The sequence below is a fragment of the Homo sapiens genome, chromosome 20, assembly GCF_000001405.40.
Source record: "Homo sapiens chromosome 20, GRCh38.p14 Primary Assembly".
NCBI classification, from domain to species: Eukaryota; Metazoa; Chordata; class Mammalia; order Primates; family Hominidae; genus Homo; species Homo sapiens.
In genome coordinates this window covers 22,250,929-22,277,526 of record NC_000020.11, presented here as the reverse complement: position 1 = coordinate 22,277,526, position 26,598 = coordinate 22,250,929, and the positions used below count along the sequence as shown (strand labels likewise).

Sequence of the window (26,598 nt, the reverse complement as noted above, 5' to 3'; positions counted from 1 at the left end):
TGATGGTAGTTTTTTTGCTGTGCAGAAACTCTTTAGTTTAATTAGATCCCATTTGTCAATTTTGGCTTTTGTTGCCATTGCTTTGGTGTTTTAGTCATGAAGTCCTTGCCCATGCTTATATCCTGAATGGTATTGCCTAGGTTTTCTTCTAGGGTTTTTATGGTTTTAGGTCTAACATTTAAGTCTTTAATCCATCGTGAATTAATTTTTGTATAAGGTATAAGGAAGGGATCTAGTTTCAGCTTTCTACATATGGCTAGCCAGTTTTCCCAGCACCATTTATTAAATAGGGACTCCTTTCCCCATTTCTTGTTTTTGTCAGACTTGTCAAAGATCAGATGGTTGTAGATGTGTGGTATTATTTCTGAGGGCTCTGTTCTTATCCATTGGTCTATATCTCTGTTTTGGTACAAGTACCATGCTGTTTTGGTTACTATAGCCTTTTAGTATAGTTTGAAGTCAGGTAGCATGATGCCTCCAGCTTTGTTCTTTTGGCTTAGGATTGTCTTGGCAATGTGGGCCCTTTTTTGGTTCCATATGAACTTTAAAGTAGTTTTTTCCAATTCTGTGAAGAAAGTCATTGGTAGCCTGATGGGGATGGCATTGAATCTATAAATTACCTTGGGCAGTAAGGCCATTTTTGATTTACTGATAGATGATAGATAGATCCTACTAAATAAATATGGGTTCTAGGCAGGGTGGTTTGCAGTGGCTGTACCTAAAATATGACAGCATTAAATATTAATAGAGGTATCATCTTCATAAGTCTACCTGGAACGATGGAAAATCTGAACCTAAAGCCACTTCCTGTTAGTCAATCTTTGTCCTATAGCAAAATCTGAAAAAGCATAACCAGACAAATAAGTTGTGTAGTGAGTTCTTGTTGTGTGTTCAATGCTTCACCTCCACCTCCTCATCGGTCTGCTCCACAGCTTCGCATGGCTGGCAAGCACCTCGGTGCCCACGGAGGAGCTGGGCAGGTACTGAGCTCTCTGCAAGGCCATCCAGTTGGTGAACCACTGAGCTGGATTACAACCTGGTCCATGCGACCCTAAGCCCACGGTCTTTCTATTCTACAACACTGAGTTTCTGACAATTCTTGGCAAGTAAGGGGACAGCCAAGCTTACCTATCTTTTCTGAGGCCATGTGTGGGTGTTGGCCATGACATGCATGTTTCTGTGATGCGTATTGCTCCTGTAGATGTTCCAGGTGTGTTTGCAGGTCCCCTGATCATGTGAACTGGTTCCAAGGCCAGCTCCATGTCCTCCCAGAGTCATGGGTATTTGAACTTAGAATATGGTAAATGCTCAATGTTTTGCAAGAGATCAGTCAATTAGCAAGTTTGCCATAGATCTTTTTGTTCCCTTAAGTTATCATTTCTAAGCCCTTTCTCACAGGGGATGAGCTCATTATTTCTGGGAAGATTGAAATTTACCATTTTTTATTATGAACTTTATCAACTTCCTTTATTTCCAGTTCAGATTCTATTATTACTGACCCCTTCTTTGCCTGCCATATTTGAGGATTAACTTCCTCTTTCCTTGTCAAAGTGAACTCTTTGCCCTTGAACTCAGCTGTCTTTCCTTTTTAGGACCATGATCTATTTGTATTAGTGTTCATTCTTCAATCTTCATTTTTCTTTTGGATCCTTCTCCTCGACCCTCAAAAGATGATGGCTCCTGTTATAAAGCAGGATTCCTTCTACCCTGTGACTTCCTTCCCCTGTTTTCCCCTCTCTAGTCTTTCTGTCCCTACACATTTTGCTGTCACCCTTCCCGAGGGCTGGTGCTACGTCTCACTCACTCATGATCCTCCACTTTCCCATCCCCGCTCAGGTCACCAAATTTAGACTGAAGATATTCGATAGGCAACTTTGCTTTTGTGCTTCCTTGAATTTAGCTTTTCTGTTATATCAACTTTTAAAAATGAGTTTGAACAGCTCCAAAAGGGAGGGCATATGTATGGCTTGTTCACTGCTGTAGAGTCAGCGTACAGTAAATGTGTGGTCAACATTTGTTGAATAACGTTGTATTCTTGTAATTTTCCATTTGTTTGTTTCCCCATCTTTGCATTATGAGCTTCTTGAATATGGGGGCTATATTTTATTTACCTGTATATTTCCAGCACTTGGCAACCACAACCCACCAGGTGCTCCAGGAGCTCTATTCATGTATATGAAAAGCTCTATATGCCCTTTTAGATGTGTTGAATTCCACATATACATTAGTCTAGTTACTGCTTCAAAAAAGAAATTAGCTTGGCAAGACTTGCTGTTAATGAACACATATTGAGTCTTATACAAAAGTACTTTCTTTACCGATACACTATTTTTTTAAAAAAATCACACTATAAAGGCATCCTTTTAAATAACTGCATAATATTATCTCACAAAAATACACCATCACGGGTGCAGCAAACCACCATGGCACGTGTATACCTATGTAACAAACCTGCACATTCTGCGCATGTATTCCTTGAACGTAAAGTATAATGAAAAAAATATGCCATCACTAATTTAATGCCTATTGTTGAGCATTGAGGTTGCTTTAAATTTCCCTTGGTTTTAAAATCACATTCATGAACATCCTTTATATAAATCCTTGACAATCTCTGATTGTTTCTTTAGAATACATTGCTTAAGGGTGACTTATTTCATTAATGAGCACTAAAGTTTTAAGGATAGAAAGATTGTATCAATTTACATTCTCATCAGCAGAGAAGGAGAATGTGCATTAGAATGTACCTTTACTTTGATTTATTTTTAATCACTAGTGTAATAATTTGTTGATTTTAAATAAGCAATTTTATTATTTAAATCAGCAGAAAATTGTTGAATAAAATACTGGATAAGAAATGAAAAGAAAAATCATCAAAGTAAGACTAAAAAACAACTAAATTGTTACCAAATATGTAAATAGTTGGTACTGTGAAACAGTATTCCCTGATTGCTTTTCCCATTTGTTCAACTGTTGCTGGCAGTGATGACGCAACCTTGCAGGGGCTTCCTTGACGCTCCTGGGAACAGGAACACGTGGCTCCTTGAGAGCAGAACTTTCCTGCTTTGCTCCCTTCTGGATTCGCAACACTAACATCATACTTGACAACTGGTAGGCACTCAGTAAGTACTTGTTTAGTGAATGAATTAATGAAGGAGAGTAATAAGGAAGCCTGTGTCCCTTCTTCCTCTCTGTAGATCCCAGTCTGGGCCCTGGGAATCACAGGACAGGGAGAGTCAGACATCATGTTTGGTGCTTTCAAAGCCGCTTATAAACCTGAAGTGTGGCCAGCTGCTCTTCCCTGTGGCCAGCTCAGGCCATGAGTGGTCATGATCACAGAGGAGGCCACATGACACTTGCTCCAGTGTGTGGTGGCTGAGCCTGCATGGGAATGCAGAGCTCCTGGAGCTGTGCCTGCAGGGACACACGGTGTACATTTAAAAATTAGAAATAAAGAGCTAAAAATGTACTATAAATTAAACAGCAACAACAATTTGAGCACCAGACAGAATTTCTATCTGGTGACAGAAAGTAATCTCTATTACAGAAATTTATAGACAAGAGGAATCTTTGTACTGGAGAAGAGGAGCTGAGATTGATACCGGAAATATGGCCTGGTACACAGTAGATAATGTACACACACACACAGGCACACACACATGTACACACATACACACTTGCACATGCAAGTACACATGCTGAATCAATGGCTGCCTAAGTGATGGATGAATGGTGATGTCTAGATAGAAAGACAGAAGGAAAAAGAAAAGTACTCCCTTATTTCCCTTATGTGGAAATAATATGAAACACTTATTAGATATACTGGACAACAAGAGAACTAAGTACTCTAACTCTACTGTGCATTACAAAAAAAATCATCCCTTCACCACAGTGTAAGATTTAATGGCGACCTGCCCAAGGATGCATGTTAAATAAAACAGCAAGATTGCTGCTGCCCTGCCAAGTACTTCCAATCCATACTCAGGTCCTACTGAAATATAGGTGGTCCCAATTAGTTTTATTGAAATAAATCTTTAAAGAAAAAGATAAAGCATTTTAAAAGACAAGTCAAAATGCATCAGGAGCCACATATCCAACAGAAACTTTATCCTCAAATGAGTTATGTTTGCCTCGCACTAATATCTTTTATTTCACTCAAATTAGAGCAATAATCTTCCATACCTAAGTATCTTCCCTGCCCAATAATTCAGAGAAAAAAAATCCAAAATGATTAGTAAAGAAAAATATATGAATTAACAGACCCTTTAAATTTGTTTTAAATATTTTGAAGATTTAAAAAGTGTTTAAAATTCTCTTTCCTAGTCAAAAATTGCCCAACTCTGTGTTTGCTTTCTGCTTGTTACATTTTTCTCCCTTACTTTTCTTTTGCTAAAGACAGGCTTTTTCCACCAGCATCATCACTGCTATCATCATTAACAGCGTAATTATACAAGCATATTTAATGCTGAGTTTAATTTAATATGTAATACATATGGTAATTGTAGGGTAATACCCACAACAACTGTAGTTTCTTACTTGGCCAAGAGAAAGCTTATTTAAGTGTTAGACTTCCATTCTGGCAAAATCTTGCCATATCAGAAGACATTGGAAAGAGGGATTCCCCTTGGTGTTTGGTCTTCTACTTAGAAAATACTTATTGCAGTTAGTTTATCTTCTAGTATTCATCTTTGTATTCTGAAGATAATAAGGTTTGAATTAAATTGATATACACAGAGCGGAACCAGTTATTTTTTATCCAATGTGAATCATAAATGAGATAATCCACAGTTATTCATTGTGGAATTGTTGAGACTATGAAAGACTCATTATCTTTGTATTCAGCTCTTCCTTAAATAGTGTAACCATACCCCCACCTCTGCTTGCTTTCTCTCCCTCCCCTCCAATGATAAAGAAAATGATAAATTTTCTGTTGTGCATTCAATTCTTATTTTAAATAAGACTAAGTATAGGCATTGTAACTGACATTGCTACATTTCTACCAATGTTTCAATTTAAAGTGCTAGTGTTTAAAAACATTTTCAAGGGATAAGACCTTCCGTACTTTGTTTATTTGAAGAATCAGTGGTAGGAGCAGCGAAGTAAATTCTATGGAGTACATTTCTAAAATAGCACCTTTCTGAAATTGTAAATAAGTTTATTCAGGTTCTAACCCTTTGCTGTACACAAGCAGACAGAAATGCATCTGTTACATAAATGAGAAAAAGCTATTATGCTGATGGAGCATGCTTTTTAAATCCTTTGAAAACACTCACCATATAAACTTGCATTTGAGCTTGTGTGTTCTTTTTGTTAATGTGTAGAATTCTCTGTTCTCGAAATTGCCAGTGTGTCCTTGGCTTAACTCAAGAACAGTTTCTTCTGGACTCCTTATTTGATTTATTTAACCTAATTATATTCTGATATTGCAAATATTACCATAAGTGGGTAAAAGTAAAATTCCTCTTCTGAAAAAAAAAAGGAAGACAGAAGGAGAACCGCACAGTCCTCACCCGCAAAGGGCAGAGTCTTGATGTTGGGCGCCTTTACAGTACCGCCTCAAACAGAAGTTTAATGTTGCACTGCTAGTCTGAGTCAAGATTAAGACTGAATTACCATGGAAGCATTTCCATCCCCACCACCACTAACCATCACAGTCACATTCACGGTCACGCTACTGTAGATCCATCCATGCATCCCATGGCACAACAGGTGCCTGGGGGTGACCACATAGACCAGCAGCCCCACCACCAGCCCTGGCCCCACCACCAGCCCACAGAGATCTCTCCACCCCTCTGTGCTTCCAGCTCCAGCTGTCTTGCTGCCATGGCACTGGGCTGTCCCACTTGGATGTCATTTTCACTGAGGGATGAGGGGAGGGGTGGGGCTGGCCATGTTGTCTCAAGACACACATCCCGTGGGACACTTGGGTTTGGCTCCTGCCATGAGCCCTCTTCCCACTCTGTGCAACACTATCCACTGGCACTCAGTTTGAGGAGCTAGGACCTTTTACCTCTCTCTCTCTCTTTAGTCTGATGTGCCTTTCAGCCCCTCCTGGCTGAGTTAATGGGGACATCTGTTACCTCAGGACCTTGGAGAGAATGGCACTACAGAGAAGATCACAGGGAAGAGAAGAGGACCTCATAAATCACGCCTGTGTTTGTGTTTCTCATTTGGCATGGTTCTGGACTACTGCAGGCAGAATGGAGTGCATTTTCTGTTGGGGATGTCAGATATGAGATGAATACTAGGAACAGAGGAGAGAAAGAAACATCCTATCTTCTTGCAGACAAATCAGAGCAGATGGGGATCTAGGCAGCTGCTACCTTTTCTTTGTTTTTCAAATTACTTAATCAAATTTATTTTAAATCTCTTTAAATTCATTCCATTTAAAGCTTCCAAAGCAGGTTGAAAAAGGGAAATTTGTGCAGGAAAGGGCCTTGAGTTGAGTTAGAAATGGGAAATTGTGTCCTAAGCCTCCACTCTAAGTCTACTTTAGATGAGTGGATTTCAAATGCATTCCCAGAAGCAAACCTTTGGAAAAATCCATGCTCTGCAAACAGGTCTCCTATACACAGCTCTGACACTGGCCATCTTCCATCTGGCAAATAACATGTTCTGAAAGTTTCTGGGCACCACTTCCATGGATGGCTCTAAGGGAGGGGAAGCAGCAGCAGTAACAGAGGACACCAGCAAATGGGAAGAGGGAATATGAGGTGCCCTTGACCTTGGAGCTCACAAAGCATGTTGAGAATGTAAGAAGCAGAGAAGGAATCAGAAGATGTGAATCACGTGGGAAAGGGAGATGTGGAAATGAGGCTAGAAGTGGAGTAGGCTTCTGAAAAATGTCAGCTGTGGTGTTGGTGAAATGTGGGCCCTAGGAGCAGCAGAGCTTCCAGCTGAAATGTATCCTGGGCTACCAGCTGTCAATCATAGGTCCACATTACTACAGTGGCCCCAGTGAAGTGAAAGAAGAGGGAAAGGCACCATGTGCCACGATTGGCCACGATTACTTGTCTCTATTGAGACAAGAACAACCACAACACAGGACTGGGTGAGAATTCACCAAGATGATCCAAGCAAAACACAAAAGTCAATACCTAACTCACAAGCTCCTCCAGCAATTTCCAAGCACAGTGTCAGTGTCCGAGCACTCATTCATTTATTCACTCAACAAACAGTTACTCATGGCCCATTGTGTGCCAGGCACCATTTGAATTAGCAGGGCAGTGTATTGGACTGAATGTTTGTGTCCTTCCAAATTTCATATGTTGAAATCCTAACTCTCAATGTGCTAGTATTCAAAGGTGAGGCCTTTGGGAGGTGATTATGTCATGTGATGGTTAATACAAAGTGTCAATTTGATTGGATTGAAGGATGCAAATATTGTTTCTGGGTGTGTCTGTAAAGGTGTTGCTAGAGGAGATTAACATTTGAGTCAGCAGACTGGGAGACACACACCTACCCTCAATCTGGGTGGGCGCCGTCCAATCAACTGGCAGCACAGCTAGAAAAAAGCAGGTGGAAGAAGGTGGAATACGCTGGCTTGCTGAGTCTTGTGGTTGTGGTCTTTCTCCCATGTTGGATGCTTCATGCCCTTGAACATCGGACCCCAGGTTCTTTGGCCTTTGGACTCTTGGACTTATACCAGTGGTTTGCTGGGGGCTCTTGGGGCTTTGGCCACAGATGGCTTCAGCCACAGATGGCTTTGCACTGTTGGCTTCCCTACTTTTGAGGCTTTGGGGCTTGACTGAGCCACTACTGGCTTCCTCACTCCTCAGCTTTGCAGACGGTCTATCATGAGACTCCACCTTGTGATCATGTGAGTCAATTCTCCCTAATAAACTCCCCTTCATATATACATATATCCTATTAGTTCTGTCCCTCTGAAGAACCCTGACTAATACGGGTCATGAGAATAGAGCCCCCATGAGTGGGATTAATGCCTTTATGAGACCGGAATGAAATTGGATCCTTATCTTATCCAAGTATGTGATAAAGGGTTAATACCCAAAATTTGTAAGAAACTCTTATAACTCAACTGCAGAAAATAAAATGGCCTGATTAAAAATGGAGCAAGGTCGAGACCATCCTGGTTTTAGTAGTGAAACCCCGTCTCTACTAAAAATACAAAAAAATTAGCCAGGCGTGGTGGTGGGCGCCTATAGTCCCAGCTACTCAGGAGGCTGAGAGAGGAGAATGGCGTGAACCCAGGAGGCAGAGCTTGCAGTGAGCTGAGATTGCACCACTGCACTCCAGCCTGGTCAACAGAGTGAGACTCCGTTTCAAAAAAAAAAAAAAAGGACCAAGGACCCGAACAGACATTTCTCCAAAAAAGATATAAAAACAGCCGATAAGTATAGGAAAAGGTGTCCAAGATTACTAATCATAAGGGAAATGCAAATTAAAATCACTATGAGATATTATGTAATATCTCTGACTCTCTGAAATAGCCAAGCTGTAAGGATGGCTATTATCAGAAAGGCAAGAGATAATAAATGTTGGCCAGGGTATGGATAAAGCCCTAGTACATGGCTGGTGGAAGTGTAGATTGGTACAGCCATTATGGAAAACAGCATAGAGGTTCCTAAAGAAATTAAAAATAGAGCTGCCGTAATACCCAGCAAGCCCACTTCTGGCTATATATCTGATGACATCACCATCTTCTAAAGGTATCAACATTCCCATGTTTATTGCAGCATTAGGTGCACTACCTCAATGCCCATCAATAGAGGAATGGATGAGGAAAATGTGGTATATACACATACACAGGGATATAATTCAGCCTTTAAAAAGGAGATTCTGCCATTTGCCACAACATAGATGGACCCGGAGGACATTGTGCCAAGTAAAATAAGCCAGACACAGAAAGAAAAATATGGCATGATCTCACTTATAGATGGAACGTTTTTTAAAAGCTCAAATACGCAAAGAATGAAACAGTAGTTACCACAGGTGGTGGTAGGGGCGGGGTGGGGGTAGAAGAAATGGGAAGATATAAATGAAAGGATATAAAATAGCAGATATGTAGTATGGCATGTCTAGGGACCCAATGCACATCCTGGGGACTAAAGTTAATAACACTGCATTGCATTAGAGATTTTTGTTAAGTAAGTAGATTTTTGCTGCTCTTGCCACAAAAAAAGTAACTAAGTGAGATGACAGGTTAAACTGCTTCACTGTTGTAACCATTTTACTGCGCCTATCCCATAACATCATGTTGTAAGCCCCAAATATGCATGATAAAATTTATTTAGAAGAAGCAGCAGCAGCAGTGGCCAGAGAGCTAGCTAGCCAACTCCTTTTGTGCCGTGGAAGATACAGTGAGAAACTGGCAGTTTGTTTCTTGGGAGAGGGCCCTCAACAGAACTGGACCAAATAAAACATACATGTCAGGAAATAAAATGTGCTATGAATGAAAGTGAAGTAAGGCAAGTGAGAAGAAGTGGTGGGAAGCTCTACAGGACAGGTCCTGAGATGCCACAGGGCAATGCCATTTGTGCAGAGACCAGCATGAATGGAGGGGCTTCTGTGGGTGGAGGATTCCAGGCAGAGGGAGCAGCCCTGCAAAGTCCTGGGGGAGGCAAGTCTGATGTCCTTTAGGAGCGGCAGCGGGGCAGGTCCTGGGGAAGTGGAGGGAGACAAGGAAGGTCTGAGAAGTCAGTGTGGCTTCTCAGAGGTTGATGTGATATTTAGGGACCTGGTGGCCACTGTAAGGACATTCAGTTTTATTCTATAGTGAAGCTGGAAGTCATTGAGAAGTTTGGGCTGGGATATCACATATCCTGACCCCTGTTTTCAGAGGAGCAGTTTGGCTGCTGCATGGACATCAACAGTGGTGGGTGAGGGGCCTGGAGGGAGAAGCAGAGCCACCTGCCATGGTCCAGGCAAAGGTGGTAAAAGTGATGGCACTTGGTGAAAGCAGGCAGAATTTCCTGCTGTATTTTGGATGAGGAGGGTGAGGAAAAGAGTTAAAGAGACCCTCAGAAGTGGAAAATGCTGGGCACGGTGGCTTACGCCTGTAATCCCAGCACTTTGGAAGGCTGAAGTGGGCGGATCACCTGAGGTCAGGAGTTTGAGACCATCCTGGCCAACACTGCAAAACCCAGTCTCTACTAAAAATACAAAAGTTATCTGGGTGTGGTGGCAGGTGCCTGTAATCCCAGCTACTTGGGAGGCGGAGGCAGGAGAATCGCTTAAACCCGGGAGAGATCGCGCCACTGCACTTCAGCCTGAGCAACAGAGCCAGACTCTGTCTCAAAATAAATAAATACATAAATAAAGTGGAAATGTCATTTATTGAGATGAGTAATCCCGAAGGTGTGGTGGGTTTAGGATCTGGCAATAATACTCCTATGCTAACAGCCAGGTACTAGAGTGGAGCTCACCCTTCCAAGGCTTCCTTGTGTTATTCCAGAGCTGGGCATGGTGAAAGGCGGCAAGTTACTGCTTCCTTCCCCTTCAGCCTCTGTAATTAGCACCTTCATTCCAAAACATTACTGTATATTTGACTTACCAGGATAAATTGTTAAAAACAGATTCCAGAGGCCAGCAGAAATTCCCATTCAGTAGGCCTGGGGAGGTATTCAGAAGTTGAGTGCTTTTTATTTTTTTTATTATATTATTATTATGATATAAAACAGGGTGTTGGTCTGTTGCCCAGGCTGAAGTGCAGTGACACAATTATAGCTCAATGCAGCATTGAACTCCCAGGCTCAACCTTTCCTCTTGTCTCAATCTCCCGAGTAGCTACAGGCATGAGCCACCATGCCTGGCTAATTTTCTTTTTTAAGTTTCTTAGAGACAAGGTCTCACTATATTGTCCAGGCTGGTCTGGAACTCCTGGCCTCAAGTGATCCTCCTGCTTTGTCCTCCCAAACTGCTGGGATTGCAGTCATGAGCCACCATGCTTGGCCTTTGAGTGTTTTTTAGCAACCACCCAGGGGAAGCTGATGCAGGAATCCAGGGACCACACTCTGAGAAGTCCCATCATGGAGGGGATGCTCCTGATGGTTTTGCTGTTGTCAAAAACAACCTGAAGGACACATATCTCCTGGGCTGCTGAGGTGACCCCATCAGCCATCAGCTGGTCTCTCCTGGATCACCCATGACAGACAAAGATCCCACAGACAACGAGATCCTGTGTAAGAAAGGAATACATAGATGCAGTCCGGGCCAATGCCTGGAACACATCCTTCCAAGCCTCGGGCTAGTATGTGGAGGTGGTGGGAGCAAGCCCGGCAACACCTCTCCATTGTTAACCCACCAAAGTGCCAAGCCAAGAGAGGAGTAATCATGGGGTTTGTTGATGACATACACTGAAGACATCCTTCAGGGTCTCTTAGATAACTGCTCTAACTTTTCTAATCAGCAGGTATTTGAAGATTGTGGGGCATAATAAAAACCTCTAATAAGGCCCTTTTATTATCCATATATCAACCAAGATGAGTGCAGTAATAATCACATCTGGTAAACCGTATGTAACCAGTGACATTGCATGGGATGGTAGTAAGTACAAAAACGGTTTCAACTGTAACCAGACAGTGGAACTGTGCATCATTTAGGGAGTTCTCATACACAGACATTCTTCCTCTGGCCTGATCCTATATGTTAGAAAATGCTATATATGCAATGTGTGTTCCATAGCAATGCATGAGCGATGCTCATTAAAAATACAGATTCCCAGGCTCTAGGTTGGATGTTTTGAACATTTGAAAATTACAGAGGCTCTGTAATTTTAAACCAGCTTCCCTGCAGTGCCAGACTTAAGCACTACTGATACAGGTTTTTTCTAGATGCTCTACTTGAGACATGACTTAGAAAATATAGCAGCTAGCTTTGGATATATAAATGCAACTGTCTCATCTTTTATAAGAAGCTGGTTCATGTTGGAGGATGACTTAAAAGCATCCAGCAATTCTTCCTCTACCTAACCCTTCCTTATCAAGATGAGATGATACTATGGATCACTGCATGGACTATTTTGTAATTTAATTGTCATAAAGAGGTAAATACATGATTTGCGTCAATATAAAAGTCTCTCATGGTAGTAGCAGAATATGCTATGTATGGAATCTCCAGATCGGATCATCGTGAGGCATCAACTTCAGTATAATTCTCCAGGCTTGTAGGCTGGTGTGAGTCATAATCTTTAATCATAAGAAACCAAGGCTGAATTATCTACAGCAATATTGGGAGGCCAGCACCTTAGAAAAGATTGGGTTCAAATTGTGAGTAAAAGGAGGCAAAGATAGTTTTGTAACTGCATGAACTGTAGACAATAATAATAGTTTCTTGGTAAATATGTACAAACTCCCTTTTTGGGGGGTACATGGCTCTAGAACAAAACACCTCTATGACTCATTGGCACGTGGCATTTAAGAGACAAGCACAGTTTCAGAATGTGAAATCGCCATGGTAATGCTCTTCGTAACATACTGGCTCAGGCAGAGAATGGCACAGACTTAACTTTCTGGAATATAAGCCGCCTGCTGTTGACATGGAAAGCCTCTGAACATCTTTACTAGGGAGGTTGTAAAGATGATTAGAAATGTCTGCTGATCCTGGAAGTGAAGCATCACTTGAAACTCTCCATTTGCCTTTTGGAGGTGACTAGGTATGCACTGCATAGAGATTACCTTGGGCTGCAGAACCTTACCAACCTCAGCACCTGTGGAGGGGTGCTGGGGGTTCCTAGTTCCCATTTTCCTCTCCACTCTGTCCCCACCCCATGCCACACCGCCGCAGTAACTGATTCTGATGCCAGACTCACTGGAGTCTTTCTGAATCTCTCATTTCACTGATCCACTTCAGACATAATACCTTACATTTTAAAGATTTTGAATTGTTGTATAACATACCTGAATAAACCACCCTCTTGATCTTTAAATGTTGGAGAACCCTGCAGCTCGGCTCTGGGCCTTCTCTCTTTCTATTCTCTTGCTTTGTGACCTCTTGCATGGTTATAGCTTCAATTACCAACTATGTGAATCTTTCCTGAATTTTATTCTAACTGTGCCAACCTAGTATTTCCACTTTTTCAGGCTTCTGAGATTGAACATATCTCATTAGAAGGATAGCTGTAGGGTTTTCTGCAGGAAAGTTTTGGTTCATAGCTACATGAGACTTTCCAATGACGTCCCCTGGGTAGTCTTTGTCCTAAAAAAGAATAACAGAATCTTGGGAGGAAAATTGTGGGTGGGAATGCCCCGATGATGGATTCTCTAATCATGTGTATGTTACCCAAGTTAACTTCCATCCTGCCATCAAGCTGGGATTTGGTGCCTGTGGAAATATTAAGAGTATCTGGAGCCACCTCCTCAAAATCATGATGCTTCTTTTGCCTCTTAAAATAATCTACAGAAATGGCAATGAAAATGAGAGTAGATGCATAAAGAGAAAAAGTTCTGGCGAGAGTTCCAGGTACCTTACATGGAAGCAGCTGGGTAAACAGTGATTTTGAGGCATTAACACATCATATTTGTACAGCAATGAGAGTTTTGAAAAACATTCATCCTTCACACTCAAAGTGAAGCCAGACATAACATTTACTAAAAAGCAAGAGTCTAGTACAGTGTTGGAGATGCATCCTGCCTCGCCCAAATTTCCAAATGTTTGCTCCACTATTCTTTACAAACATCTCAAGGAAACTTCAACAACTTTTCAGCTTGTTTAATGTTAATGAAAGTGAATATCCCAATGTTCTGAAAAAAGCAAAAACTGTCTTTCCAGCTGCTTGGCCTGATGGAAGTATAAAGGCGGGTGAGTAAATTCTTTAATTTCATATTCAAATGTCCTGATGTCATTCTATGAAGAGAGTTATAATCAACACATTTGTAAGTCACCCAATGAACTTGGTTTCTTCAGGTCCTAGGTTGGAGCTTGGAATCCTCAGCTAAGTTTTAGTTCCGAGAGTTCATATATTTTCTGTTAGGAAATCATCTAGAAATGTAAAAGTGCAGTTTTCCTTCAACATTGTCCTGGGCTTTATTCTGCTTTGGGAAGGTGAGAGCTGTTCTGGGGAAGAGCTGGTTAGGACAGGAAGGGTGGGGAAGAAGGGCAGGGAGGGCACTATGGAGAGTTTTACTTAGAAATGGATTTCAGCCAAAAGACAGGACTCTGAACTATTTGAAGATCATTCTTTCCTCCAACATCCATTCAAATTAAACAACATTTTTCTGTTCCTCTTTCTCCTTTAGGCTTTTAGTATGCAGCAAAGCTGTGCGTGATGTCTCTGATTTTAAATGTTTCACCCAAAATGTAATACGACTATGTTTATTTTTTTCTCTTTTACATGAGGGAAGTGTTTCCATAAGACCTGGAAGACAAGACATAATGTGGGGACACAAAGGCAGATGAAGACTTATTGCTCATTCTTCTTTTTTCCACTTCCTGAAATAGACAGTCCTTCCCTCCTGATCCAAACCCGATTCATTGTGTCATATCTAACTAAAATGGCACCTTTCCTAAGAGTGCTTGTTCTTTGTGACTCCAGGACGTTCTATCAGCCATTGTTGTGGATACCCTTCCCCACACATTTTAGAGCTCCAAGTACAGCACAGTGATGGCATTTCATGCTCCTTGGAACCTGTGAGGTGGGTGCCACATCGTCTTCACTTTTTGGATGTGAAAGCTGAAGCTCAGAGGTCCTGTCACCAGTCTATGTGTCAAGGTCATACACATCAGTTAGTGAACAGCCAGGGTCTGCAGCCTCACTGTCCAGCTTCGGGGGGCTCCACGCGGAAACTCCCTGCAGTTCTCTGTTCTCCGCGGTAACCTCACTCGTGGATTCCTTTAAGGCCTATTCTTTTATCTTCAACTAAACCATGAATCCCTTGATGACAGCTTTTGTCTTGTACTTTTTTTTACATCTGGATAGCCACTTCACAAAAGAATACCTGCAGGAGTCTATCATACGTGCACTGATTGAGATGGATCATGTGAGGATATGTAAAACCAGAGACTCAAAAAATAGCAAACTGAACATTTAGATAAGGTAATCATTCTATGGCTTATTGGTGGTAGTTTATATTAATGGTCATTATAATCATGTTGTTTCCAAGCAAATAACACAATAAGAAAATAATCCAGTAATACCCCTAAGCTTTGTGAATGTGTTATGATCAGTTTTATGTAAGACCATACTGTAGTAAGTTATGGGGGGGGTTGTCCAGTCACTCTCATGTGAGTGGTGTCAAAACACATACTCACCCCCACCCTGAGTCGCTGCCTTGGGTCCCATCCAGCAATGACTGTGAGTGCCCCAACACCTGAGCACACAGATGCTCTTATTTCAGAACCCACCCATGTCAGGGAAGCCCCTGTCTCCCAGAGGTCCTTTCAGTCTAGCCAGTTCTAGGGCATGGTCCTTTCCCAGGATGCACACTGTGGGCATCTAGGCATGGGGAGGGAGAGTGGCCACTATTTGTATGTGTGGAATTGGCCACCTGGGAGAAACTGAGAAGGGTCTGAAAACGTCTCTCCACATTCAGTTATTATGGAGCAGTAATGCAGGCAAAACTGTCCCTGGAATCAGTTCATGGTATAACCCAAGTGTCACAAAGAAAGGATCAGGGCAGAGAAAGTGAGCTTTGTTGGAACCTGGGGTGAGTGGGAAGAGCAACTGGGAGATGAGCGACACAGGATAGGGCAGGGGCTAGAGCAGAGAGAGGGGGAGGGCGCTGGCCCAGGAGAGATGACCACACCAGACTATGTGGACCCCACCTGAGGCACAGCCCTAAGAGGAGTTGCAGCAAGGGGAGCTGGTGTCCCCATTTCAGGAAGGCTCCCTTGACAGGTAGGGAATGTGGACTTTCCGTAGAGTAATGCTCTGTTCGCCACTTGTCCAAATAGTAATAAATCACCAGTAAATTCCTGGTGCTGTTTGGAAGCCTTGGACTTCAAAGCCCCAAATTCACAAACAGGAACCTTTCATTAACTCTGGAAAAAGAATTTCACTTTATTTCAATTTGTGTATTTGGTTATTTAGTGGAAGCATATATTGCTGACCAACATGACATTCCGTTTTGAATCAAGTGCCTTTTATTCTAGAGCCATCAGACATTGAAATTATGTGTTTAAATGCTTGACCAGCCTTCATCTGTACCAAATGTTTGAACTTGCTTTTATAAAAGATGAGACAACTTTGTGTTTTAGTTTTTTTTTTAAAGCTGGTTTTATTCACAAGATACATAAGACCAAAAAACCCCTCAGAGCTGTAACATTTTGATTTTCCTGGAGTTCAAAGTACTACCTTTCTCCATTAAATAATTTAAAGCATCTTTTTTGAGAGAAGGGAATAAAAGCAAGATCTAATCTGGAATTGAATGCCTTGTGGTGTGTTGTTTTGCTGGGGCCCGTCGCCTTGTTCTGTCTTTATTTCTCCTCTTTTCCTCCCTTCTCAGCTATGCTTGGGTATCCAATGTCAGAATTATTTCTTTCATCAGACCCATGCAAATGGAATAATATTCTCTCTGCTGAATGTCACTGTTGCTTGGACCTTTTAAAGTTAAGGTCAAACATCCCTTTTTGTTTTTATTAAGAAGCATTGCATCACACAGAGAAAATATTACACACTGATCTTTAACAAGAGTACTGTAAAGCAAATTGGGATCGATCTTATTTTCAGCTGGGACAACCATTTCCTTCAGGCTTGACCTGAGGATCAGATGTTTGACTCTTCTAGGAATCAAGGTGAAGATGGATAAACATGCAAGTTTGAAAGAAAGCAGGAACAAGGCAATCCAACTTGTATTTTCTGTAAGCTGGCGGCAGAACATTTAACTGCCAGCTCCTGACAAGGTTTGGAAAACTCATCAGTGGGAAAGCAGCCAAAACACTGCTCAAGCATGGGTGGTCACCAGCAGCAAAGGAGGGAAAGCAAGCCAGAAAGAAAGAAGGAAAGAGAGAGTTTTTATATAAGTGCTTTCCCATGATGTTCTAGCTATGTGCTTTACTAAAGCAGTGTAACTGTCACCATCCTGCTGAAAGCTCAAATTAAGGTGATGCAATGAGGAAGCATTTCATATTAATAACGGCATTAAACAGAGACAACACATTATCATCTATGCAGGCTTGGCTGGGCTGGTGTGCACCTTACTTCCTAGTTTCAAGAATAGAATACTCACACTGCATCATATGTCATGCCTCCCAAAACTCGTGGTCAGATGAATTTGAATGTCAATCTGGGGAAAAACTCCTTTCCACTCTTGAAATTTTGGTTTTGGTTTTGTCTGTTTGTTTGTTTTACTGTTAGACTGTCTGCACATAAACAGAGAGACCAAGACAACAGTAAGCAATACAAATGTCAACCAACTCAACAGCTGAAACAGCTAAATCTAATACCCTGTAGAAGCACTCATGTACATCACCAATTTAAGAATTTTGTGAGAAATAGAGTACATTTTTTAGGTAAGAGACGAGTTCTCTATTAGGTTAATCATGATAATAACATTGATATACTTCAGGTCTTTTTTCATATAAGTAGTCTGCAAACACCTTCCTCTTTGATTAGTAATTTTTTTATTAGTGAGATACATGATCATCAAAAAATATGTACAGATGTTTGCCTCCCTTGAGAGTTGGCCAATTGCTCTTGCAAGGCAGGCCAGTTTCAAGGCCATTCAGACCTCGGGCACTACAAGGGGCAGCTCTATTTTGTGACAGGATCACTCCCTGTACTAGTATCAGAAATAAAGCTTGAAGGTGACATCTCCCAAGTGAACATTTATCTTTGTACTCAAAGGGCTGCTTTTTCATGATGACTGCCTCAGAGACTTTTTTCAAAAATGAAGCTCTCTGCCTCTGTTACCAAAATCCAAGGTTCTATGACAGCCTCATGCTTATAAAGTTTTCTATTTCTTCTGTAATATGTCTGTAATTCCGTAAGCCATGTCTCCCTCTCACTGTACCTGGCCCACTTATAAGGATGCAACTGAGGGTCCTATGTCTTCATTTAGAGGGCAGCAAGACCAATGCTCATCTTCAAACCATGAGCAGCCTCACTTAATGAGATTGTCTGCTCTACAGGCCCTGGGCAGTGTTCAGAACATGTTCCCAGAGACGTTATCTTTGTCTTTGTCTGCAAACTCGCAACATTCAAACTTGAGAGTCAGGAATGGCCTGTATTTTGGGATGCTATACATGGTGACATAACGGGGTTTCACTGGATTTGCTCAACATATTATCCAGTTGTATGACTGAATTGGTCCCATTTTTGCACAGATGTGGCTCCCAGAAACTTACAATATTTTTGAGTCATTCCATTGCTTTGGGTGCCACACATCTTGAAAGGAAAACACTGCACAGGTCAAGAAGTATAACTGTTAGCACTTGACCTCTGCTTTTGCATCAATTTCAAGCATTCACTTTGGTAAGTTGATATATTTCTAACATGTGGTATTGCTTCATCATTGAAGCTATATTTTTTTCTTACATTGTTAGTTCGGTAATAACATATTTACCTGATATTGGAATAGAACACAGGTTCTGGTTTAAGTCATACAGTAATGACTGGCTTTTGGTTTTTAATTGTACAATCTAAGTTAATAGCAAATCTCCTTTGTATTTGTGTATGTGTCTGTGTGTGTACATAATGATTAATACCACATATTGCAGCTATTTTGTTAAGAAGACCGTGGTCCACATATTGGTGGGGGAAAAAGAAAGAGAACATTACAAGCATGGAGATCATCAGAGAATCCTTGATTTGGGTCCTAGTTTTGTTTCTTGTTCCCTGTACAACTTTGGAAAAGTTATGTTGCCTGCCTTATACAGATTGGTTTAAGGATTGAGTGAGATAATTCATATTAAAATTTAGCTCAGTGTGACAGTGAAAATATTAGGAAGTGATAGCTAATATTAAGAAGTGTTATATAATTATTGTTTTTGTTACAAAATGAAGTTCTTATTCCTGTATTTGAATGTGCACATTTCCAGATGTTCAGTAAAACCATGTCTCAATGCAGACTTCTTTTGGGGGCTACCAGCTAGGGATCTTTAAGACACTATTAAGGCAAAATGTTCTGCTTCTATGTCTTCTGGCAATTTTTACACAATATAAAAATATGAATAAAAGTAAGTTAAATAATGTCTTTCTTAACACTTCCTTTCCAAAATGATAAAATAACTCATTAAGCACTTTCAAAACCTTTAAATGCAATGAAACCAATATCCTTGCCTAGCAAACAGACAGGAACAAGGGCAAGGTATCACAGAAAAAATGCTTTGCTTAAAACCCAGAAGAATTGAGTCCAAGGCTTTTCTTTGTCCCTGACTAGCTGTGTGATTTGAAGCAAATTAGTTCTCCAAGTCAAGCTTTTTATTTATTTATTTATTTATTTATTTATTTATGTATTTATTTATCTGCAAAATAGGAGAAAACATCCCCATATCCTAGGAATGCTGTGAGAGCTGCGATAAGTGTTGCACAATCACCTTTCTTATATTATGGAGAAAAGTCATTGTTGAAGCTGAAGGCGATTTCAGATGGTTTATTCAAAAAATGTTTTCGTGGTAGCCTCATCCTTCTAATGATACACATCCTCACAGGGTGACGACAAAGCATGAATGACAATGTGAGCCACTCGCACTGACGTACTTCAAGGGAAATCCTCTCATGACTTTATTACTTTCACAGTCTCAAGCCTCAGACCAGCTGTTAATAATTATTAAACTCACACTCTCCTTATATCTTTTTGGATTTCAAAAATATTTAGTATTGTGATTTGTGGTCAGGATTCTCTTGACTACAAATAATAGAAAACCCATTGGGGGAATTTTGGAAATAAAAGGAAGGAGAGATTTGGTTACCAGGATATGGGAGCTCTTGGAAGCAGGGGACCAGGGAGCCCCTTGGTCCGCCCCACTGCAATGAACCACAGTCCTCCTCTCTGATTGGAACCCAGGACATTCTCTCTTCTGTCTCTCAGCCTTGCTTCACTCCAGGGGGGAGTTTTAGTCTTCATCATTGCAGATGAGCCTTCGATTTACCACCTGATGAAAAGAAAAAGATCCTGGCATTCTTTTTCCAAAATTATATACCCTGCAGTCAAATACAGCCAAGTTAAAACTAAGCTCTTTCACTCTCCATTTCTGGTAGTTTCAAATGGAAGAGGCTCATTGGCCCAGCTTGGGTCAGATGCTTTTGCCTGGTCCAATCAGTGTGGCCAGAGAGGGTAGGAGGGTCTCACTTTATAAACGTGGCTGCCCCACTGTAACCGCGTGGTTGAAGATCTGGAATTTGGAGTTTGACTGTAAAACTTTACCTACCTGTAGTCGAGATGGTCTATGCATGCTATGGTTGTGGAAGGACAAACATAACTTCCTTTGCTTCTGTCCATTTGTTTTTTACAAAGCAGAGCCCCACACTCACCACTGAGATAGGGAGAGTTTTGACCTTGTAGTTTTCCATGAATATTGAAGTTAACTTGCTCATACTAAAGTATCTTTGTTGTCCCAAAACCATGCAATGGGGTCATTACGTCAAATGAAAGGAGAAAATAGTTTGATTTTCTAATTAAGAAGATATTTTTGTTAAGTAACTCACAAGTTTAAAAGGATTGTACCTACTTACAGTTTACTATGTACAAACTGTAAGCAGTTTAATATGTACAAAAAGCTTGATTCTGCAACATAGGCATGTTCTTTTTTGTAAAAAAGAGTGAAAGTTCTTTGCATCACTGTGGAAAAAGACATTATTTCATTCATACATATACAGTAGACTGTTTACTAGAACACAGTAGAAAATTATACTTTTGGATAATGAAAAATAGAAAGTATAGAATATAAAATCATATGGTTCAGAATTTCATGGGCATCAGTGAAAATGCTACAGGCAAAGCAGAACATTAAGCTCGTTATCATATGTGCAGTGTTCTGAAAGCAAACAAGCGACAGCACAGAGTAAAATTAAGTAATTGCTTGTTGGACATGATGCGTGTATTCAGGTGTGTAGCATGGCTACTTATGTAGCAGTTTTGTCATTTTGCCCATTTTTAATTGACTAACTTAAATCAATATGTAGTATTTTGGCTAAAGCCTGATGAACGTTTTCTACTTGTTCAAATCAAATGAAAACTGGATCCTCTGGCCCAGTTGTGCATATGAACATAGATTTATTCTCTCTTTATCGTTTCATGTAGGAGATGGCAGTCCATAAATCTGGGGTCTCAATCTTAGAGATACTTCGAGAATAATGAGATTACCTTTAAGACACCTCCACTCATTTAACTGTTGCTGAATCACTTTTTTTTTTGTATTATACTTTAAGTTCTAGGGTACATGTGCACAATGTGCAGGTTTGTTACATATGTATACGTGTGCCATGTTGGTGTGCTGCACCCATTAACTCTTCATTTACATTAGGTATATCTCCTAATGCTATCCCTCCCCCCTCCCCCCACCCCATGACAGGCCCCAGTGTGTGATGTTCCCTGCCCTGTGTCCAGGTGTTCTCATTGTTCAATTCCCACCTATGAGTGAGAACATGCGATGTTTGGTTTTTTGTCCTTATGATGGTTTGCTGAGAATGATGGTTTCCAGCTTCATCCATGTCCCTACAAAGGACATGAACTCATCCTTTTTTATGGCTGCATAGTATTCCATGGTGTATATGTGGCAATCATTAAAAAGTCAGGAAACAACAGGTGCTGGAGAGGATGTGGAGAAATTGGAACACTTTTACACTGTTGGTGGGACTGTAAATTAGTTCAACCATTGTGGAAGATAGTGTGGCGATTCCTCAAGGATCTAGAACTAGAGATATCATTTGACCCAGCCATCTCATTACTGGGTATATACGCAAAGGATTATAAATCCTGCTGCTATAAAGACACATGCACACATATTTTTATTGTGGCACTATTCACGATGGCAAAGACTTGGAACCAACCCAAATGTCCAACAATGATAGACTGGATTAAGAAAATGTGGCTGAATCACTTTTTTGACCAAGGGTTTGGTTTCATTTTCTGATGGAATGTTATGCATTTGTATGCTCACCTTCATTTTCTGTTTTAAAAAAACAAAACAAAATATCTCACGAGGTTTGGTGTCCTTAATTCCAAACGGTTTCTTGATCTTGAAGGACTTCAGGCAACCTGAAAGGAGCCCTTGGATCAGGGACATTGCACACCTCCACTGCTGTGGGAAACCATAGAAGAGTACAGACAAGTCTGTGGTTAAACCAGTGGCCAGAGCTTGATTAATTCCATACAGTCCACAAAATGAGAACTCAAACACCATGGAAATTTTCAGGAGGTACAGAGACCTAGGCCAAGCAGAAATGATACAATTTTTTCCCTTATTCATCAGGAGCTGGAGTCTTGTGTAGAAACCCTGGAGATGACCATTGTTGCTCCATAGCTAATGGGGTGGACTAGTGCTGTGCACTGACCGCTTCTACTTGGATTATCCGTGTGGATGTTCTCAACTCTGCCAAAGAGTCCCAGAGGGGGATTGGGCTTCATATGAGGGAAAATGCAGTTGTCACCTTTCAGTTATAATATTTTAACTATCAAATTATCATATAGTATTAATAATGATGTTAATTACACATATGTGTGGCAAAATTCTGTCGACACACTTACCAATTACTTTTACAACAGCTCTAAAAGCAGGTGTTGTTATTTTTATATTGCAGAATATGAATCTGAATCTCATGGAAGTTAAATAATTTTCCAAGATCTCTAACTAGTAAATAGTAGAGTCAGGATTTAACATAAATCCATCTAAATGTAAAGTTTGTATTTTTCTCACTGTGCTATATTTTCTAGTTTTCTAAGCCACAATCTCTTGAAAATTAAAATGTTATTTATATACCATAAATTGCCCTTTAAAGTGTACAATTTCATGGTTTTTGGTATACTGCAAAGTTGTGCACCATCACCACTATCTAATTCCAGAACATTTCATCATCCCCCAAAAGAAATTCAATACTCATTACCAGGCACTCCCCACTCCCCCTCCCCACAACCCCTGGAAACCACTCATCCACTTTCTATCTCTATAGATTTGCCTGTTCTGGATATTTCATATACATGTAATCATATGATGTCTGGCCTTTTGCATCTGGCTTCTTTCACTAAGCATGTTTTCAAAGTTCATCCAAGTCGCAGCATGTGTTAGTACTTTATCCATTTTATGGCTGAATAATATTCCCTTGTATGGTGATGGTTACAACACATTTTGTTTATCCGCTCATCAGCTGATGAACTTTTTGTCTATTATGAATAATGCTATGAATATTGTGTATAAGTCTTTGTCTGAATACCTTTTTTCAATTTGGGGAGGTATATGGCTAGGTATATTTTCTTATTTTAATAAAATAAATCTTATGTTTCAAAAATTCAAATCTGGGTTTTAATTCAGAAAATATTTGTTGATTGTCCACTAATAACAAGCACATGGCTAAGCATCATAGGTCAGAGAAAGAGAAATAAAAAGGCTCTCTGCCTTCCAGTGAGTCCCGCCCTCTCATAGTCTTACGGTTGTTGAGTGGCAGGCGTTTGCACATGCACGCTCTTCTTTTCCCTGAGAAAAAAATAACTTTTGATATGTAGACAAGTCTGAAATTGGCTTATCAACAATAATTTGGGAGCTGCCAGATTGTGGTACAATTTTGACACTATCTTTTCAAAGAGATCTGAATCAGGCTCTGTCATTAACTGCATAGGCCTTTAGCCATGAAAAAAAGTATCTTCATCCAAAGTAATGAATAGACAAATTAAATTTCATTAGGAGTTTAATGATTCATAATGTATTACTCTCTTGGTAGTCACTTAGTTCAACAATTTATTCATTCATCTATTCAATATACATGCTCACAATGACACTGTGCTAGGTGCTGGAGAGGTAATGTAGAAAGGGAGGAGCCTGGAGTCCCTGTTCTCTCAGAGCTTTGAGCCTGGAAAGAGATGCAGTCAAGCAAACAGGGGACTGTAATGGAGTGTGATTGAGGCTTTGGTAGGGAAATACAGGATGTTATTAAACCCCAAAGGAGAAGGCACTTACCTTGATTAGGGGAGGCAAGGAGACATTCCTGGAGGAGTGATGCCTAAGCTAGACCTGAAGAATGAGTTAGTTTAGCAAAGAATTCATAGGAACTCATGAACAGTGTTTCAGGGAGAAAAAACCACATCTATGCAGGACTGCACTTTTGTTGAACTGAAGAAAGTTTATTGAGACCAAAGTTCACAAAAGCCTGAGGATGAGAAATGGGACTGAAAACGGTACCTGGAGCAGATCATTCAAATGCCTTAAGCTTTGCTACAGGTACTGGAATTTATTCTAAAGGAAGCAGGGAGCCATAGAAAACTATATGTAAGTAAGTGAGATGATCAGACTTGCTCCGGGTCTCAATATGGATAATAATTGGAGACTGGAAGCAGAGGGACAAGTTCAGAGCCTGTTGTATTAAGCTACAGGTTAGGGATTGTGTCCTGAACAAGAGAGTTGGCTTTGGATACGGAGAGAATTTGACAGATATCTGCTATATAGGATGTAGAATCTGCAAGACTTGGTGGTTGATAAAGGGACTGGAAGGCATGAAGGAGGGAGAAGGAGGAGTCAGAGGAGGCCCCCAGATTTCTGGACCCCTCCCATATTCCCTCAGCCCTTGTCATTTGGTGCTTGCCAGCCCAACTTTGAACTGCCAGCATTTGCATGTCTTTGCCTGAGGGGCTGCCAGGCTTAAGTTTAAGAGAATTAACACCCCCAAGGAGGAACTCTCAAGAGGAGAGTTGGCAGATAAACACCCCACTTCCCTCACTTTCTGGGTGGGTCAATGCTAAGGCATGTTCTGTGTGGTCTCCCAGGTTTCTCCATAGGGTGAACCCTAGTTACCTACAAAAGGAACTGGCTTGATGTGCACCTTTTATTGGCTACTTTTTCTTCCCTATCTCACTTCTTTTCTCCCTTATTGGTGTATTCTAGAGTTGCCTCCCAAATAAACTACTTTCTTGCACATCCTTGTCTAAGCATCTTCTTTTAGGGAACCCAATCTAAGGTATCCGCGTTGTAAACGTGGATAGAAGACCACCCACAAAGTCAGGGAATGCCCAGGGAGTGACCAGTTTGTGTTGATGATGGTAGTGATGATGAGTGGAGTTCAAAGAAGTGGAAGCAAGTATCAAAAAATCATTTTCGTAAGCGCTAAGGCTGAGATTCCAGGGGACATGCAAGTGAAGGTGTCATCTGGGCAGTTGGTCTAAAGTACAGAAGAGAGGGCTCAGCTGGAGATGATGACTGGGGGGTTTATGGTAAGAACAAGTGGGGGAAGGGTGCCAAGGACAGATCCTTGAGTAAAACTGCCACTCAATGGGGAGGGAAAGAGTCATTCACTAAGGAGACTAAGAGGGAGTGGCCAGAAATAGAAGGAAGACCAGGACACGGGGGTGGCACCAAAGGATAAGCATCTCCAGGTACATGTTATAGGGATGCATTTAAACTGTCAGCTCCACAAGCTTCTCCCAGCACCTCTGTGGACTCCGTAGGTTCAGTCCTTACATCTCAATGTTTATCACAGTTCATCCTTTCCCGGAACATAGTCTCTGTTTCCTGATTCTGCTACAGAATCAGGAAATACAATGTTATTATACTGCAAATTTGTAGAAAAGCCATAATACTTGTGCTGCTTCCTGCCTTTCATTTTCCCCCTCCAATAACTGAAAGAACATGAGAATTACAATAACAAATTTCCTCTGATGCAATTACTTGCTGGTTAATGCACATAAATCAAGAAAACATCACCTTTCTTTTATTTTTTAATATTCAGGTTTATTTACTTTTATATTTTTAATTTATCTTGTCTGAAAAATACAGCTCAAAGATTCAGTATCAATGGTAATGAAAAACACAAAGTTCACTCTCAATCTTTTCCTGCCCTGATTTGAAATGTGAGTTTTATCATTTTTGGGATTTTTATACAAACTTTTGTTTGCTTTCTTTTTCTTCTTTGTCAACCACTTACAAAAAAAAAAAGACAACTTTTTTGTGCATTTGGTTTTCCCAGTGAAAGGTGCAGTGCTTCTGTGAATGTGCCGAGAGAACTCTGCGGCTCCTGTGTCCCAGCTGCCTTCGTCGGCTGGGCTGTTTGTAGCTCCTCTGTCTCCTGCAGGACACAGGCCTTCTCTAGAGCAGAGCTCCACTTTTGTTTTAAAATCCCAGATGTGTTCAATTTTCTTTTTGAATTTCTCTTGTTTTGTTCGTTTATGCTTATTTTTGTGCTGCGGTTGGCGTGGTTTGTGCATTTGCTCCCTTTTAGCGACTGTGGCAACCTTTTTCTTTACTTCATATCATGCTGTGCAATTGCTTTTGCTAATGTTCTGTGGCCATTGAGGGGCAGAAGTGATTGGTGTGAGTGTGGGTAGGGTCAAGCAGTGGAAGTATTTTCTTATATACATGACATTTTAAATCACAGAAAGAGAGCTCAGAGAGACACTTGCAGAAAGGGCACTTGTTTAAATGTGCACTGAACAGGTAGATTCCAGAGTCACACAGCTCAGGTACAAAAACTGGTTTATTCACAAGTAAAATCCCTTGGAAGTTGTTTGACTTCTCTGTTCTGCAGTTTCTGCATTTGTAAAAACAAGTAACCCCTTCCTAATA

General features: G+C 40.8%; 1 long non-coding RNA gene across 3 annotated transcripts, besides 1 other annotated feature; it reads left to right on the top strand.

The window, feature by feature from the left end:
• The first annotated feature begins 2,978 nt into the window (after positions 1–2,978).
• On the top strand, positions 2,979–16,941 carry LOC105372561 (uncharacterized). 3 transcript variants are annotated; one of them, XR_937333.2, is made up of 4 exons: positions 12,357–12,610; positions 13,357–13,755; positions 14,193–14,989; positions 16,679–16,941. It is a non-coding gene; the product is annotated as an uncharacterized LOC105372561 (long non-coding RNA). The 3 variants fall into 3 exon arrangements; XR_937335.2 differs by lacking the exons at positions 12,357–12,610; positions 13,357–13,755 and adding an exon at positions 2,979–3,119 and having other exon boundaries at positions 14,293–14,989; XR_001754534.1 differs by lacking the exon at positions 13,357–13,755 and having other exon boundaries at positions 14,293–14,989.
• Positions 11,886–13,085: an enhancer, noted in NCBI's record as "CDK7 strongly-dependent group 2 enhancer chr20:22245080-22246279 (GRCh37/hg19 assembly coordinates)". NCBI's record gives its function as "activates an origin of replication core promoter dependent on BRD2, BRD4, P300/CBP, MED14 and CDK7 cofactors, with strong dependence on CDK7, by STARR-seq in HCT116 cells {active_cell/tissue: HCT116}" and the evidence as "EXISTENCE:reporter gene assay evidence [ECO:0000049][PMID:35650434]".
• Positions 16,942–26,598: the final 9,657 nt, after the last annotated feature.